Source organism: Homo sapiens, chromosome 2, assembly GCF_000001405.40.
Source record: "Homo sapiens chromosome 2, GRCh38.p14 Primary Assembly".
NCBI classification, from domain to species: Eukaryota; Metazoa; Chordata; class Mammalia; order Primates; family Hominidae; genus Homo; species Homo sapiens.
Genome location: NC_000002.12, coordinates 36,771,157 through 36,789,818, shown reverse-complemented (window position 1 = coordinate 36,789,818; position 18,662 = coordinate 36,771,157). Strand labels below are relative to the sequence as shown.

The window sequence follows — 18,662 nt, the reverse complement described above, 5'->3', positions numbered from 1 at the left end:
CTCATTTCCTCACTACAACACAAAGAGGTAGAATCAGGTGCTCTCAAGGCCTCAGCCTGTGATTCCAAGAGTGCAGGGATGATTTTAAGGGGGAGCAAAGAGGGCGTTAGAATCTGGTGAGAACCCAAATCACCAGGATGCCCCACTTCCTTCCTCTGTGTGCTCTCATGCATACAGCGGGGATTGAAGGGGACCATCCAGGAGAGGAAGCTGGGCAAGTGAAACCAACAGCAGTTTCTGCTGAATAAATGTGTCTCCCCCTCAGCCTCATCATACCCTTCTCGGGCCGCCCTCTCATTTGTTTTGTTTCCCACGCTCCACGGATGGTTGTATCACCGCTGTGCAACACATCAATTCGTCATTGATCACCCCACCTCCTTGGGACCCTGAGACTGAAAGGAAGGGAAAGGCAGTTATCTGGTCTGTTAGTCCCACATTCATTTACTGGATGTCTTCTGAATACAGAGCTGGTCACTGAATTACAGGACGCCAGGGCTGGCAGAGCCCTAATAAATCATCTAGTCTGACCCTCTTGCTATGCAGATGGCAGCACTTACAAGGAGAGGTTAAGTGACTGGCTTAAGGTCACACAGAGGAGCTGAGGCCCGAATTCAGATCACCTGTCAGCGGTGCATTGCGCTTTCCACTCCACCCTGCTGCTGGGGGAGGGCGAAGATGATAGATTAGCTTATGTGAGCATAAAACAGTGGAAAACACACACATTTCCCTAAGTGCTCCAAATTAATAAGAACCCCGTGAAAAAGGCAGACACAAGGGATTTTTTAGATAGTAAAACTGAAAAGCATGGGGGTAAACTCTTGCTTGTGAATGGCGATCACATTGGGAGTATGTGGGGAAAATGTTTTGGGGGAAGGCGTCTTTATTCTTCTTCCTTCCCTGCAACATTTGTTCTCTAATCCATGCTCTCATCAGCAACACTATTCTCACGCCATTTTTCTTTTCCCTGACATATTTATCATCTTATTTTCATATTATACTATAAAGCTTGCTATATACAAGCTTTTAAAGCAGCTATTTTTAATGCAAGATAACACATCAAGCTTTGAGCCTCCCAGTAAAACTGACTAAGGACATTTGGCATTAAAACGCGTATGTTTCCTCTCTAGTAAAACCTGTCATCCATTGGCTATCTGTAAAAAGTAACACAGGAATGAAAAAGGGTTGGCATTTTGAAACCAGAAAATACCCCCTAAAACCGCACTTTTCTTATTTCAACTCAAAAACTTCAAGATAGATCCCCTGAGCTTGAGAGGTGACATTTGCAGCAATGGGTTATTTTTATCTAATTGAGTGTGACTACATACAAGTGCCAGTTAACTCATCTATTAATTTTTCCTGACAGGAATAGAAGGTAGTATCAAATGTGTTATCGGAATTAAATTCTAAAAACACAAATGTAGGTTCTTATGAAAATAAAGCATTTTATTTATTTCTCTTGACAACTCAAAAATTAATATTGATCTCTTTGATAGAGCAAACTTTGTTAAAATAAAACCTCTGAAGGCGCTGGAGACCCCGCGGGTGTTGTCAGGTATGGATAGTTTTTCTTTTCAGGAGGGTGAGTAAGCTGTGACCGCACTTCTAAGCAATAGGCACCAAAGGTTATGATGGTTTCCACTTCCGTCACCCCTTCCACACCCACTGGTCCTTTGTAGAAGGCATGATACCCATCCTGCCCTCAATGATTCTTGGTCAAAAGGCTACCTATTTAAGATGTGTGTATAAATTTAAGATTATGCACGCTTGTTCTTTTGATTGTTTATTATCAATATCTATGTATCTGTTTCAGTGAGAAACCTATTCATATCTGAAATAAGAGTGATTTATTACCGCCAAATGAAAGATTGAGACTGGATGTCAACACGAGCCCTCCATTTCTATCCTAAGTATAATAATAGAGCAGGTTGGCGAAAGTCATCTAGGTGCTCAGCTGACTGATGGGGGCCGTCTCTCTTCCCACCCATTCTTCTCCATTGCCTGGTGAGTTTTTCCAGTACCAGTGCAGGGGCCTAAGGTTATTTGGAGAAAAGAGAAGATACAACCTAAAGCACCATGTTCTCTAGGCGTCTAACCTATAGGTGGATAGGTTGTAGCACAGGGTGGAGTCCCTCAAACAAATGCTGTAATAGGGTTGAAAGCAGATCCAACCTTCATGATCTACAGATGAGGAAACTGACAATCAGAGAGGCGAAGGCCTAGCCCAAGGCCACAGAGCTGGTTATTGGCTAAGTTAACACTCACACGCATCTCTCCTGTTTTCCAGACAAATAAATATTCTTGAGTGCAAATGCCATCTACTTACAAGTGTTTTTTAATCTGTCCCTTCCTTCAGGAAGTCTCAGATTTCTTAAAGGCATCTGGATTCCTTCAGTTTTTTCATTTACATTTGCATTAGGGAAGAGAACAAATCTGTGCTCAAGGACATGTTGGTAATATTTGTGGCATAAAATTAAGCACGTGGCATAAAATTAAGCACATGGCATGACTTCCTTTCTGGATTCAGAACATTAACTGCACTTACCCATACTGGACAACACCCATCAGTGGACCGGCAGGGCCAATGTCAAGAGCTTGGGCAACATCAGCCAGGAGCTGCTTCTGGATTCGGAATCGCCGTTTGCCAATGCTGGTGCTCCCATCAATTAAAAACGACAAGTCAATTTTGCAGTCTGCGGAACGGAAAAAGACTCTATTATTCTCATGATCTCTCACTGCATTTACCTGGGCATCCTCTTGTTCCTCTTTCTCCATCAGAGCCCCCTGAGAAATGAAAAGAAAGGGAAAAAGAGGTAGGAAGATGCAGGGTATATTTATTTACATCCCACAGGGGTTTCCCTGAGCACCAGGGTCTTGGACACTTAGGCTAGTCCTTATTTCCATAACTGTTTAAAACTCTATGTATCTGCCACAATTATGGGTTTCAGAAGCAGCGACGTCCTAGCCAAGCTAGGGAAGGCTGTCAATGGTTTCCTAGGCTAAGATCTTGTAAGTGCAGACTCCCCGTTGTGAGAATTCATCAAGACTGAGTCGCAAGAGCGTGTGGCTTTTTGCTCTCATCCTAACTTTTTAGAAACCAGTGTTGGATTTTTATAAGGTGTGAGAGATCTGCAAGGCCAGCACTGAGGGAGGGCAGGAATTATAGAATAAGAAATTGATATCAATCTTCTCCTTCATTTCCCTGGGCGAGGGAACCAAAGAAATTATCTACATATATGTATAGGATGTCAGCCCTTGTTCGTAGCTATCCGAGATTTTTTTTCTTTCTTTCTTTTAGTTGTGATGAGGACCAGGATAGTTATTCTGCCTTAGGATCTCTGGATCTCTGTGGATATATGAAGGTTATAAGAGAGGTAAAGGGATGGATGGGCTGCAAGCTCTTTTCACCCTTTCAAACATCAAAAGGAACTAGTGAAAAGCCACACAGGCTAATGGAAATTAGTGTTTCCTTTGCGGTAGACAGGAATGATATCATCTCAGTATAAAACTGACTATTCAGTGCTGATCAGAGGTTCTTATTGGGAGCTATAGATCCCTTTGATTAGTAAAAAGTGAAAAATAAATTATTTAACAGTTGCAATTTAGAAGACAAAAATGTTTCAAAACAGAGCTCCATATAGGAAAAAAAAAAAAGAGTGAGTAAAGTTGGAAATTTCTAGGCTGGTGTATCCGAGAGGACACTGGGGCACTGCCCATTGTGGGTGGGGAGCAGCGGCCAGACGGACCTGCACCTCTCTAATCTGCACACAACCACCCATGTTCTCCACGGTGCATTGTTGCCACAGAGCTGGAGTCTTCCCATTCTTCAGGAGGAGAAGCTCTGTAGGTGGAGAGGGTTGTTGCTGGTTTTAAAAAATTGTTTTAAAGATGAAAGCAATAAATGAACATGAGTTGACAAAGTTTTGAGCAGAAGAATTGATGAGAAATATTTATTGCTGAGTGCTACTGCAGAACTGTGATTAGGAGAAAAGTTATACCTGAGAATGTGTTTTATTATCTTGCAGTGTTGCATGGCAATCAAAACCAGGGAAGTAGGAGATGAGAGGGACCCGTCTGGCACTGGCTGACTTCACTCCATCTAGAATCAGGGCACCTGTTTGTACCTTGGCTCAGTAGCAAATCTCAAAAGAAAAGCTTTTACCTCCTGTCTGCCTGGGCGTTCAGTGCCTACCAATTCATCCTTTTCAACTGGCTTCCCTTGTCCTTTGCTGTCCCCAAACTGCCTATACCCAAGCATGATCTTGAGATGAAGAATGAAAGAGGCAAATAAAGTCCAGAAGCAGAGTTGAAAAATGCCACTAAAACCTGGGGTAAAGGAAAGGAGAAGCAGCATGTGATTCTCATATGCAGCTTATCATGTTGTGGATTCCCAAGCAAGGCCAACTCATTTTTTTTTTCTGGCGGGGCTTGCAGTGTGAATTGTTGCCAGCAGGTGGCAGTGGAGTTCTTCAGGGTTTGCCGCCTACTAGCACCTACAGTTTGCTAGACTCTCAGGCTCCACCCAAACCTATAGAGACAGACGTGCATTTTAACAAGATCCCCAGGTGATTCCTGTGCACAGTAAAGTTGGAGAAGTAATCCTGAGGTGGAGTTTCCCTTCCAGATGTCAGCAGATTAGTTCAATATACCTTTTGGAATAAAGTATTTTTGGGAACAAGTGTTAATTAGAGTAAGGGCCAGAGGGGATTTTCTTTTTACATGAATAAAGTACATGGATATTGTAGCATCTATTTTGATTCCTCACAGGCAGTTTTTCTCCTTATTTCTTACATCTGGAATTGTTTTCAGGATTAACGTATTCATCTTATAGTTAGGTCTTAAGAAGGTGAGCTGTTTCTCTATTTGCTTAATTCTCTTTACTCACTGGCCTGATGGCTGATACCACGGTTACTTTTGCTCCTCTTTTAAATGACAATGGTTCCAGCTCAGGGCATGTTTTGACTGAGACCCATGACTTTCTTATATAGAGGTGAAAACATTCTGATCTGAAGATGCCAGCATCAGTGCTAACAGGTAGAATTGGGTTATACAATGTTCAGTGTGAGCAATTTATTATGGCTAAAGAAGAGATCAGAGGTTGAAAGTCAAGGAAGAGAAAGTAAGATATAGTATCTATGGGAATCACTCTATCAATGTATTTAATTGCTGTAGTTTCCTTCAACATGGTACCATTTTATAGACTAATGCTTTGTGTTGTCCAATACATCAGGCCAGTGTTTCTTAACTCTGGATACATACCACAGTCATGTACATATCAGGGTTGCTAATGCAGCTTCAACAAATGAAGACTCCTGGGATTCACTCTGTAAAGTGCTTCTCAAGGGTAAATGTGCAAAGGAATCAATCACTGTAGAACCAGCAGGTCTGTGTTTCTAACAAGCTCCCTGGTGATGCTGATGCTGATTCTGCTGGTCTCCAGACCACACTTTGGGTAGCAAGGTCTAGGGAGAACCTGATACAGTAGGTATGAGGCAGGAAGATGGGCATCTTTAATAATGTCTTCAGGTGATTCTCATATGCAGCAAGGTTGAGCCTCACTGTCCATTGGTGGCTGACTAGTAGTGACTTTCTAGCGGAATATGCAGGTGCTTTCTTTCCATACCTTGCAGGCTACTACTATGTCTTTCTCATTTTCCTTGTTTTTCTCTGGTTCTTCCTTTCTGATATCCTCAGGTGGTTTCTCCTCCACCTAGTGTTGTTCTCCAGGCTTAAGTCTTCTGTATCTTCTTACTTTACTGTGTCTCCCTAAGTCACATTTTCTGTTCTCATAGCCTCGGTTTCGAACCATAGCTCATTGTCTTACAACTCTAAATTTCTGATTGGGCTGTTCCTTCTGAATGTCAGACCTGGGTAGTCTTCTCTCTACCAGATCAAATGTCTCGAAGAAAATGATAGACATAAACCTGCTTCATCCCCAGTGTTCCTCATTGTAGTACCATTTACCTAGTCGCTCAACTCATCTTTAACTTCTCCCTCTCTCGAACCTCCACCTTCCATCTTATAGATTCTCCCTTCTCTGTATCTCTTGAATATGCCCATTTATCTTCATTTCCACTTCCAACTCCGAGTTCTGGCCACCATCATTTGCAGTAGACCATTGCCCCTGCTAACCTGCCCGTCTCCTCCTTTCATCCTTCCTTGTCTTTCCGTTCCATCCCATTCTTCACCCTGTTGCCATAGTGATGTTAAAACATTTTGATCCTCTCCCCCTCATGCACATAGACAGTTTATATCCTTCAAAAGCTTCCCTTTCCCCTTAGAACAAGGTGTCAGAAGAGAGGAGATAAATAGATCCACGGTAGGAGAGAGGCAGGTTTGAGTGGGAGTGAGTGGGAAGAGAGGAGAGAGCAGTTCAGATGTCAAAGACACCGTGGGTTTCTAGTTGTCAATTAACTTACTTGGATCTCCCAGGGATACTGGCTCCAAAGACTGTGTGCTCAATTCTTCTTTTGGAACAAGTCCTGGAAAGAGCAGTAAAACTTTTGGTGACTTACAAGGAAAGGAAGCAGCTGGCCTTACCCCATGGGAGGGGACATAATGGATATTCACACCCAGCTTGGGGGCTTGGCTTAAAGCTAACTGTGCTTTTTTTCACATCACCCCCATCCTGAGAAAAATAATAAATTAATATTTACTTACAGCCTATCAAAAACATAGTACTCTGCTGGGGGATTTGAAATCAGGAGACTTGAGTTCTGTTCTTGTTAATTTATTCTTTATTCTGAGCCTTAGTTTTGTCATCTGAAAGCGTTAAGCACTTGGCCATTGTAAATTATGTCTCTGTAAAATTCTGAAAATCTTGAGCCACAGAATGTGTCTTGCTCGAATAAACCTCCACCGTGCCAAGATCATGTAGGTCCTCAGTCAACATTTGGTGATTGACACAATGAACGAAGATGAGTAAGGCACAAGAAGGACAATCTAATGAGGATTGGATGTGGACTGGAGGAAGACAGTTTATTTAAAAGTAACTCACATAAGAGGGCTTAAAATGCAACTCCTCCCTCCCAGGTGTTTGAGACTAGAAGTAGAGATTCAAAAAGGTTTCATGCTCTCAGAAGCTGTGTGTGTGAGTTGCATTTCAGCCTTGGGGAAGGGGGTGTCTTTAGAGCCATGTACATGGGAGCCAAGTTCATAAATATACCATTTAAAGAAATAAAGACAATAAAAGCGAATCCTTTTAGGCTTGGTAACACGAATGGGCTTCCCAGGCAGAGCACGCTTGCAGCACTGGAAGTGAGTCTCCCCGTTTTCAGGAGGCCCGGAAGTTCCGGGATTCCCCGGAGTGGAGGAAGGTGCGGGGGTCTTCGCTCGCGCTTGGCTGCAGTGAGCTTTCTACTGGCTTGTTATTTTTTCCAGTTTGCAAAGCACATGATTTCATCCTTCCGTTAAAGGTCAGCTAGCTCATCCCACTTCCTCACATCATTTTAAACATTCACTTTGGGTGGCTAACAGCATTTCTCAGCCAGGAGCCTGTCGTGGAAACGCCCCAAGACTCTGCGTTGGAGGAAGGGGAGAAGTACAAGTCCAGAGGCGGAGTCCTCTCCTTCACCTCCTTCTTCCCCTACCAGTACAATCTTCCCTCCCATGAAGAGCTGGAAGGTCTTGTGTGTTGGAGTTTCAAATATTTAATGCAGTACGCAGCAAACAACACCCATTCTCGTGAAGGGAAAACCTGAAAGCCATTTTGCAAAGGAGGAAGTGGAGTTGGAGGAAGTTAAAGTGTGCTGCCAGATAGAGTCAGGGTCCAAACCCATTTTGAGGGTGGGAAACTAGCTCCCTTCTGGCTTTTTGTCTTCACGTTTCCTCTCTCCCTTTTGTTATCCAATATTGCCCCTTACCCCAGGCCTCCCTAGGGAGGGAGTTTCAATGTGCCCTTTGTAGGACCCTTAAATCAGAGGCGGGAGCCATTAGAAATCCTAGGCTAGTGGAGCTCGGCCGCTATGCCAGCTGGATTATTAGACTCTTAGTTCTGCTATCCTGCGCATCTTGATCCACGCGTGGCTGAGAGGTTGGGCTGTATAATTACCTTCATCTAAAAGGACCGATCCAGGTTTCCATGAGTCCATCTCTCCTGATTTTCAAAATTGAAAAGAAACAAACTTGTTACTTAAACCAAACCAGCAGAAACTCTTGAGTGAATTGCCGGGATGATAAGGTTTCCCAATTGTGTCTGAAAGTTCAATAAAGGAACAGAGGGCCAGAATTTTGGATGAAGCAACCTGAAATCTGTATGATTTTTTAAAATCTGAAGCTCTTAAAGTCAAAGGCATAAACATCTTTACCAATTTCTTTTTCATTATGCACCAAGAATCTTGGAATAATGGGAATCCTTGGATTCAAAAGGAACTAAAAATTCATCCACTCCAAACCACCTCCCAATCTGTTTTTGCAACATCCCTGGCCTGTGAGTGGCTGGCTAGTGCTTGATACCTCCAGAGACAGGGGATTCATTACATATTCAACCAAAGTAGTAGATTCCTTCTTGCACTGTTGAGACTGAATCTTTTGCCCTAAATCCTTTCCCATCTATCCATACATCCACACTTATTAAGCACTCACTATATGCCTAATATCGTTCTAGGTACATTTGTCCCACCTGTTTGAATTCCCTTCCTTGGAACTACACTGAACAAATATGGCCCCTTCAGAGATCAGGCAATCCGCTTATTTCCCGAGATTCTGCTTCTCACTGTGTGACTCAAGCAGAATAAAGGAAAGTAGCACCTGGACCTGTATGCAGTAAGATGTTTAATGGCCTTCAACCACAAACTGGTGCTAATGAAGTAGAAGGGGTGGAGGGGAGGAGGAGAGTCTTACTCAATAATCTCTGATCTTTTTTGGAAAATCATGGCTGAGAGGGGCTCAGGGACAGCACAAATGTGTCAGGAAGCCTTATAACACACAAATGGCTGTTTCCCTTTCTTTCTGCCCCTCTCCCTCCTTTCCTCTCTTTTCCATGTCTCCCCTCCCTCCCTCCATCCCACCCTCCCTCCTTCTCTATTTTAGCTCAGAAAGTTGAGAGCATGATCAACTGTTTTATTTCTTAAAGGCTATCAGCTTTTCTGCCAGCTGAAATTACTAACACACTGAAAAAAGGGTGATATTTTTCTTTATGTGATGAAGATGCCAGACAGTTTTGAAAGGCAATCTGTTACTGCACATTCTGGTTTAATGGTGAGACCTGAGTTTAATCTAGTTCGGTCATTAACCAGGTGTGTGACCTTGAGCTAGTCACATACCCTTTGTGAGCCTTAATTTCTTTGTAAGTAATATAAGCAGATTGGGCAAGATAGTCTCCGCATTCAAGATATTTATGACTTGCTTAAACATTCTGATCAAGAACATCCTGCTTCTTTAGCCTTATTACTTTATCGCCACCTACTGGTGAAAATATGCACTTTACCCTTTTCCTAAAAAAATGTGCTGCTGGCTTCCCTCACTTTTTGCCCAAGGCTTGCTTGCTTTCTTTTTCCTTCTTCCGATGCACTCTTGAATGTCAGGAAGATTAGGATGCTGGGTGCTCTATTACTTTATCAAGAGATAAACAGTCCCCCAACATCAGGGATTTCCAAGCCTCTTGCTCCTGTCCTAGAAGCCTGTCCTTATATTCATGCCACTTTCGGTTTGTTTGGGACAAGTTTGAACCAAATTACATTCATCCAAAAGCCAAAGGCTGAAAAATATTTGGACAGCTGAGACTTGGTGTTTTTTGGACTCAGTAGTAATGAGAAGTAAATTTGTGAGAACATTTGTATTCTGGCGTCAAGGAGGAACAGGGTGGTATCAAGAAAAGACATCAGAAGCCCATCCTGGGTCAACCAAAGACCAACTGGGAGCCTGGGGGGCTCACTTACTTTCTTTCCAGGTTTGCCTCCAGTTTTTTGCAGTGTAGGGTTGTCATAAAGACTTTCCCTACACTGTCACATGGAGGAGACTTGAAGGAGGTAAATGTGTATAAAATCACTCTGAGAAGTGTAAGTCACTCTTAGAAAACCAGGGAATTATTTTTGTGTTTTTGTGACAATTCTTGCTTGGTCATCTCATAGATACAGTCAGGTCTAAAAGAAGTGTTGGTTCTAATACTGCATGTCCTCACTTACAAGTGGGAGCTGAATGATGAGAACACATGGTGGGGAACAGCACGTACTGGGGCCTGTTGGAGGGTTGGGAGGTGGGAGGAGGGAGAGCATCAGGAAGAATAGCTAATGGATGCTGGGTTTAATACCTAGGTGATCGGATGATCTGTATAGAAAACCACCATGGCACCCATTTACTTATGTAACAAACCTGCACCTTTGGCACATGTACCCCTGAGCTTAGAATACAAGTTGGAAATTAAAAAAACAAAGGTATATTGGTTCTGAATGATTTCTGGGGTAAAAATGTAGAAGCCATTGGTGTTTATGGAGAGCTTGCTTAGTGTCAGGCACTGACTGAGCACTTTCTACGTATTAAGTCACAATCATCCAGTGAGTTAGGTGCAGCTATGATCCCATTTTACAGGTGAGGAAACTCATGCACAGGGAGTGGCAGAACAGAACTTTAAGCCCATGCGGGCAGGCTCCAAAGCCTACCCCTAACCACCATCTGTTTATCACACACTAGGAGTCATCATCGCTTCAGCACCTCGGGGTACTTGGTTAGGGCACTGAAGAGCTGGGCCTGGCCCAGCCACCTGCAACTCATGCTAATGTAGTCAAGTCTTCAAAAGGGCCCAGAAGCATGCCTGCTCCTAAGACTGTGGTGTGATCTTGGTGCTGGTTCCAGCTCCTTCTGTTCCATCTAGAAGTCACCAACACGGGACCCAAGCAAGAGCTGCAAACATGGCCCTTTGGGCTCTCAAATTTTATAAGACAGAAGCCCGAGTGTCCCTTCAGCTCCCTCGTTTCTTCCCAGTGACTCCCCTGGGGTGTAGTCTTTAGGAGGAAGTGGCTCTGAAAGGCAGCAGGCATCTGGACCAGCAGAATTTCTAGGCTTCCCTTCCCTTCACCTGGCTTCATGTCCCAAGGGCTGCACTTTCCCTGGAGAGCTGCTTCTTGCTGTACCGAAGTGGGGAGCACTAAGAGGGTGGGCTGTTGCAGCTGTGCCCAGGGTGTCGCCATGCTGGTAGCGCATCACACAAGGACTCTCAGAGAAGGCTGAGGACAGTCTGGGGTCCTGGGCGTAAGCCATCATGCCAACAAAGCGTCGACAGTCCCAGGTTTATAAATGGGCTACCATCCAAGGCTCGGTGTGGGGTATTTTTTGGGAAACCTGGCAGCCTTTTCTCTTGGAAACATTAACTCCATGGTTAGGTTTCCAGACCAGTGAAGCTTCTTTGACTCAAACACAGCTCATGGTACCAAGAAGCCAACCAGCATAAGGATGGTTCTGAGGAAAAGCCACCAGGTTTTAACTTGAATTATCAGGAGCCCACCACCCCTGCCTCCTCCATACAGCAGGAGTAGCCTGCCCCAACTCCCAGAACCGTGGTAGGAGGGGTAAAGGCTGGCAGTGGGGGACGCAGTGTGTAGGAGGCAGTGGTGTTGCTGATGACTCTGGAGTAGGAGAGTGTGGGGCCTGTGAAGGCAAAAGCCCCAGCAGCATAATTCTAGAATTTGAAAATACTTGATTCGTGTTTGTAGCTCTAATGCACAGGACAGTATCTGACATACAGTATGCTCAGTACATTTTTTAAAAATTAAATAACAGATCCCCTTCATATGAGAGCTTCAGCTTAAATGGGGGGTGCATGAATTTATATCTGTGGCTGAAGGCATAGTGGGAGAGAGTGGCAGGAATCACTCATGGGTGACACCTGGTGTCCTGTAGAAAGGAGGATGACAGCATCATCAGGTCCACATGTAACTGCTTGTGTCTGGGTTGATCTAAACACAAAGGAGGTGTTTAGTGCGGATCGCAGGATTCGGTTGCCCCATGTGATATATTTTTATCAGTAAAGGGAATGGAGACAGGTGGCACGTTTATCCATTTTCCAGATGACACAAAGATTACAAGGATGTTAACACATTCAATGACAGAACGAATACTCAGGAAGATTGCAGCCGACTAAACGAAGGAAGGATTTAATAGAGATATGTGATTTTCCAGTGTGGGCTTCAAAAACTCGATTGTGTCTAGACAGGATTGAGGTGACCTGCTTCTACAGAGGTATATGATAAAAAATCCCAGCGACTTTAGGTATTGCAAGCTCAGTAGGAGATGAGCCAGTGGTGAGACAAGCCTTACCCCAAATGGAAGTTGGGGTGTTTTAGTGGGAGCAGAGTATTGAGGACTAGAGAGGCAATTGCCTGGCACACTACCCTGGCAGCACTGTGTTCTGCTCGGGGTGCCCTGGTGTATGAATTATTAATAGTCTACAGCATAGTTAGAGGGTGTACTGCCAAGTCCAGCAAAGACCTATTGGAGGGATTAAAGAGATATCCTGGAAAAGATGAGATATAAAAAAAGACATGAAGTCTAGCTTCATGTATTTGAAAGGCTCTCAAATTTAAGGCACTCTCAAAGGTTCTCAGCCTTCTTATGCTCTCAGAAATTGTCAAAGACCCCAAAGACCTTTAGTTTGTACGAGTTATATCTATTAATTTTTATCATTTAGAAATTACAACTGTGCACTTTCTCATTTGAAACAGAATACTGACAATTTGTTTAACTATTAATTTACTTTATTTTTACTTATTTTATTTTATTATTTAATTTTAATTTTTTTGAGACAGAGTCTCGCTCTGTCGCCCAGGCTGGAGTGCAGTGGCGTGATCTCGGCTCACTGCAAGCTCCGCCTCCTGGGTTCATGCCATTCTCCTGCCTCAGCCTCCCAAGTAGCTGGGACTACAGGCGCCCGCCACCACGCCTGGCTAATTTTTTGTGTTTTTAGTAGAGACGGAGTTTCACCGTGTTAGCCGGGATGGTCTCGATCTCCTGACCTCGTGATCTGCCCTCCTTGGCCTCCCAAAGTGCTGGGATACAGGTGTGAGCCACCGCGCCAGGCCATTTTATTTTTTTTGAGATGGAGTCTCACTCTGTGACCTAGGTTGGAGTGCAGTGGCGCCATCTCAGCTTACTGCACCCTCGGCCTCCCAGGTTTAAGTGATTCTCCTGCCTCAGCCTCCCGAGTAACTGGGATTACAGGCACGCACCACCGGCTCATTGTTGTATTTTTAATAGAGACGGGGTCTCACTATGTGGGCCAAACTCGTCTCGAACTCTTGAGCTCAAATGATCCACCTGCCTTGGCCTCCCAAAGTGCTGGGATTACCGGCGTGAACCACCGCACCCGGCCTAACTATTAATTTACTTCAAAGTGACAATAGAATTATTATATTTTAATGTAAGCGTTAATTTTTACTGAAAAAAAACTGTTTTCTAAAACCAAGGCTTCAGTGAGAAGAGTGGCAAATGTCTCCAATGTCTATCATAATAGAAGATAGCTGGAGTCTGTTATCAGCTCCTGCAGTCAGTTGTGATATGTTGTTGTTGTTGAAATATGTGGAGAAAATCTGTCCTCACAACAACATGTAGTCAGAGAAGGGAAGATGTCACAGAATCTCTGAAAGCGGGGTCTTTGGACCACACTTTGAGAACCACTGGTTTAGACAAATTAGTAATGAGGAGCTGAAGTTCTGGATAGTTACGTCTAATAGTGCCACCCACCAAATGAAGGGGCTGGGAATTCCCTACCACTTGAAGTTATTCGATATAGGGTAAAGGCCTCTGTCTGGCACACCATAAGTGATTCATTTTCAGGTGAGAAGTTAGACCAGATGTACTTTATACAATTCTTTCCAATTCCATAATCTGACGATTTTATAGCTGAGGAACTGGGCAGCTTGCCTTGTATACATGACTGCATCTGAGATGAGAGTTGGTCGAAGGATATCTAAGAACTCCAAATGTTCTTACCTGCCTTTACTCAGGGTGTGCAAATGGCTTCCTTCCCCTGTAGGAGCCATAATGGAGCTTCATAGCTAGTCTAGGTCTGAGCACCTAGAGTGTGTTGGGGGAGTCCTTTAAGTCAGGAACACTCTGAGAGTTCATGGGAGACTCTGAGGCACTCAGAGCAAAGTTGCAGGGATGATGGTGAGGAGAGAAGCAGCAGAAATTGGGTAGGATTTGAAGGTAAAGGAACATCTAGGAACATCTGTGTGGGTCGAGACAGAGTGGCATTATTGGGAGCATAAAGGAGAATGGAGAAGAAACAGAGAATCCCAGAGCTATAGAACTGGAGGATGGTAAACTCAGAAAAAGGGAATGAGGCCAAATACATTCAGCAGAATACAGCATTGAAACAAACCCAAAATTGTCAGGCAGTAAAAAATTGAAGATGCAAATCAGGTTATGTGCCTCCTTGCCAACCATCCCCCATGCCATATCCGAACCATGTGCTGTATCTGGGTATTTGTGCTTTATCCTGGAGGACTGTCTGAGGATGGGCCTGGTAGGTGCAGAGAGGCAAAGAGGCTGCTTAGTGAGGGAACCTCTTGAGGAGACATAAAGTAATGACAGCCCTTGGATGTCTTCGTTGACAAAGATTTTCTCTTTGATGCACTGAGAACAGATCAATCAAAGAGACATTTTCTCGAGGTTAAAATATCTTAGCATGCTCCCAAACTCTGGTGACCTGAAGTTGAGCTGCAGAGGCCAAGAACAAGTGTGTGGGGAGGTCCTCATGTTTGCAAAGTGCCACAGAGCAAATTCCTAGGGAGCAGAGATGGTAAGCAGTGGGCAGCTTACCCAGGCTGACATCCGCTCCAACAGGTTTCTGGAAGGCAGCTCCTGAAGGATCTTGCCTTTGGATACCTGAGGGGATTACACAGGGTCAGCCGATTTACACACAACCAGCAGGCTGCTTTCTTTCCTTATTTTGCCCCCGGTGAAAATTACCTTAGTTCAGATTTTCCTTGGAAGTCGGCCGAGCTCTCTGTGCCTGGTTGTACTTCTGGGGGTTGCAGAGGAGGCAAAAATCTTGGCCAAGGGGACAGGAGGAAACAGTGCTCCATGGATTGGGCTCCTGTAGAGTCCCACGAGTCTGTAGAGGCCTAAGATGGCCTTGGAGTCCTTGCCCTGGCCAGTGTTCTCATTCTCAAGCCTTTTTGTCCAGGACAACAGCATGTGCATTGGCAAAGGTGCAATTGTGAAGCTCATAGAAGCTGCTCGCCCTGACCAGAGGAGCCCATTGGGCCCCTGTTCCTATCCAGTAGCAAGCAAAACAGAACCTACAGTTTCTAAGAACATGTGGAGAGTGGACGAGTATCCCCCAGCAGGGAGAAGACCTGCTTCTGATCCTAGTGTCCTGTGGCTTCAGAGGGAATGGTATACTTCCACCAAGTCTATCAGCTCATAGACCGGGCTGTGAGTAGAGTTTGTGGAAACCGTCAAACCCTGCTAGATTTTCCTTTCTAATCTCTGCAGGCCTTAACAGTGCTGCAGAGAAGAGAATTTGCTGGATTCCTAGTTCTTCGGCCAAACCATACAGAAATGAAGACAGCCAGGGGCATTTCAGAATTCATAGGTGAACTCCCGGGGAGAGAGAATGTGTTTCTGTCCCCCGTGGCATAGAATTACTCAGGCAAAAAAGAGAGAAAAAAAATCCTCTTTCCTGGGAGATGATACAAATTTCCCTTCGTGTTTTACCGTAGTTCCTCAAAAATAAGCCCCAGAGAGTGCCCCTTTTCAGGTCTGTAAGAGCCCGGTTACTGAATCCTGAGACATTCCTATCACAACCTCTACAGACTCGCTTCAGGGGAACAGAGAGTGGGACAGGGCTTTGCTTACTTAACCACTTCTTTACATGTTTTCTTAGAAGTTGGGCCCTTGAGTGGCATCTTCTGTTGGCCTAAGTGGTTTAATAGTCCTTGTCCAAATCTAAATTAAATGGCAAAGATGTGGAGAGGAACCGCATGTAAACAAGCTTAACTTTCATCAGTGGCTGGAAAGGGAGTTTAAGGTCTTACCTGGATCAGCTCTGGGCCTGTTTTGGCTGCTTGTGTAGGTGGCAGTGGACCAGAGATCTGTAAGGACATTTGACTGGTCAGAGCATGAATTTTATTTAATTAATTAATTAATTTATTTATTTTTGAGTCGGAGTCTCACTGTATGCCCAGAGCTGGAGTGCAGTGGTGCGATCTCAGCTCACTGCAACCTCCGGGTTCAAGCGATTCTCCCACCTCAGCCTCCCGAGTAGCTGGGATTACAGGTGCGTACCACTAGGCTCAACTAATTTTTTATATTTTTAGTAGAGATGGGGTTTCACCATGTTGGCCAGGCTGGTCTTGAACTCCTGACCTCAAGTGATCTGCCTGCCTCAGCCTCCCAAGGCATGAGCCACCACACCCGGCCAATAAATTTTAACCTGACTGTTTTCATTCTTTCTATGATCCAACCTAGCAAGACATTACCAAGGTTGGAAACAAGGTGAAGCTCTATATTTGGGCAGTCCAAACCTGCCTTGGAAGAGGAATTCAAATGAAAAAAAAAAAAAGAGTATTTAACCTAAAACACCAACTAAAAACTACAGGTAATAATAACCTTTGTATTTCACAACTATCAAAGTATCTATCTTTTAGTCAAATGCCATATTTCTTTACACTTCATTATTCTTACAATAATTCTCAACTGTGCCACTCATGGGGAGGTTGAAGTAATCCTTCAGTAGAAGTGTCACTTAACATTCAGCAATTTGCTTAAGCTGCGTTAACGTGGTATTGATGCAAATAGAATTAGCTTTTCATCATTTTTAGAGGTACACAATGGGTTATCGTTAATTACTCTGTGAGCGAAGGAAACACACTTCAACATTCATTATTTATTGAGCAATTTCTCTAAAGCAAGGTTTTAAAAGGGAGAAGGGAGATAAAACATTCTGTTAAGAGAAATGCAAAGCCTTTGGAAGGGAAAGAGAGGCACGTAAAACCCAGCTGACGGAAATAACCAAATGTCATGAAGGGGAAGAGCAAGAGGGCATGGAAAAAAATATCAATTTGTCTTAGAACTGGAGTTATCCAAAATCAGCTTTTGACTCTTTTTGTCTATGTTCCAATTATTTGACACAATTTCAAAGTAGGTTTCTTTGTTTGTTTGTTTATTTTTTGTTTTCAGTCAGGCTCTCACTCTGTCCCCCAGGCTGGGGTACAGTGGTGTGATCATAGCTCACTGCAGCCTTGAACTCCTGGGCTCAAGTGATCCTCCTGCCTCAGCCTCCTGAGTAGCTGAGACTACAAGTGCACATCACCATGCTCTGCTAAGTTTTTGTTTTGTTTTGTTTTTGAGATGGAGTTTCGCTCTTGTTGCCCAGGCTGGAGTGCAATGGCATGATCTCGGCTCCCCACAACCTCCGCCTTCCAGGTTCAAGTGATCTCCTGCCTCAGCCTCCCGAGTAGCTGGGATTACAAGCATGTGCCACCATGCCCGGCTAATTTTGTATTTTTATTAGAGATGGGTTTTCTCCATGTCGGTCAGGCTGGTCTTGAACTCCTGACCTCAGGTGATCTGCCTGCCTTAGCCTCCCGAAGTGTTGGGATTACAGGCGTGAGCCACGGAAGTTTTTTTTATTTTTGTAGAGTCAGGGGTCTTGCTCTGTTGCCCAGGCTGGTATTGAACTCCTGGCCTCAAGTGATCCTCCTGCCTCGGCCTCCCAAAGTGTTGGAATTAGGGAGGCATGAGCCACCACGCCCAGCCTCAAAGCAGCCTTATTTTCTGTTTAATTATGCAGATAACATAGGCTTACTGTAAAAATAAGATGATATACTATGCATAGTAAGCAATCACCTTTTATCCTCTAGCCAGCAGTTACTGGTATACAATTCTGGCATACAGAGTTGTATCCCTTTTTCTGTGGGATGTACATGCTCTCATGTACAACACACGTTGCAAAAATGAGATTGGTTCCCATGCTGTTTTGTAGCCTGCTTCTTTGACTGAATGATCTGCCCCAGGCCAATTCTCTTGTGGCACTAAGCGCACATATTTCTCAACATTTTACTACCTGTATAGTAACTTCTTTAGCCATTCTTCTAGTGATAAATAAGTAAATTATCTCCTTTAAAAAATTATGAACAGCATCTGTTCTCACCCCGGGTTGATAATTACCTTAGGATATATTCCTGGAAGTGTGAATTCTGGGTCATTTCTCCACACTCTCATCCAAACTGTGTATTATCGATTTCCAATGAGAGTTGCTGAGAAATGATATTTTGTTGTTTAATTTGTACTTACTTGATTCCTGGTGAAGCTGAACATCTTTTTTTTTTTTCTTTTTCTTTTTCTTTTTTTTTTTTGAGATGAAGTCTCACTCTATTACCCAGGCTGGAGTGCAGTGGCACGACCTCGGCTCACTGCAACTCCTGCTGCCCGGGTTCAAGCGATTCTCCTGGCTCAGCCTCCTGAGTAGCCGGTATTACAGGTGCACACCACTGCATCTGGCTAATTTTTGTATTTTTAGTAGAGATGGGGTTTCACCATCTTGGCCAGACTGGTCGAACTTCTGACCTCGTGATCCGCCCGCCTTGGCCTCCCAAAGTGCTGAGATTACAGGCGTGAGCCACCGGGACCGGCAAAGCCGAACATTTTTATAACAATTTTTTTATTGGCCATTTGTAGTTCTTCTGCTGTGGCTTGCCTGGTTATGGCCTTTCCCCATCTTTCTT

At 44.1% G+C, this 18,662-nt stretch overlaps 1 protein-coding gene and 1 long non-coding RNA gene across 14 annotated transcripts in view; one reads left to right on the top strand and one right to left on the bottom strand.

The window, feature by feature from the left end:
* LOC124905990 (uncharacterized) overlaps positions 1-18,662 on the top strand; it is a 118,030-nt gene that overhangs the window by 17,620 nt on the left and 81,748 nt on the right. The gene's annotated exons all lie outside the window — the stretch shown is intronic.
* VIT (vitrin) overlaps positions 1-18,662 on the bottom strand; it is a 118,088-nt gene that overhangs the window by 24,976 nt on the left and 74,450 nt on the right. For 4 of the 13 annotated variants that reach the window (NM_053276.4, NM_001391966.1, NM_001391967.1 and 1 more), the window contains 5 exons: positions 15,972-16,028; positions 14,752-14,817; positions 8,048-8,092; positions 6,417-6,479; positions 2,543-2,690 (listed from right to left, as the gene is read on the bottom strand). In NM_053276.4, coding sequence (NP_444506.2) covers positions 2,543-2,690; positions 6,417-6,479; positions 8,048-8,092; positions 14,752-14,817; positions 15,972-16,028 — 379 coding nt within the window. Of the gene's footprint in view, positions 1-2,542; positions 2,691-6,416; positions 6,480-8,047; positions 8,093-14,751; positions 14,818-14,901; positions 15,932-15,971; positions 16,029-18,662 lie in introns of those variants that run through there. The other 9 variants (NM_001177969.2, NM_001391968.1, NM_001328661.2 and 6 more) reach the window with 6 other exon arrangements.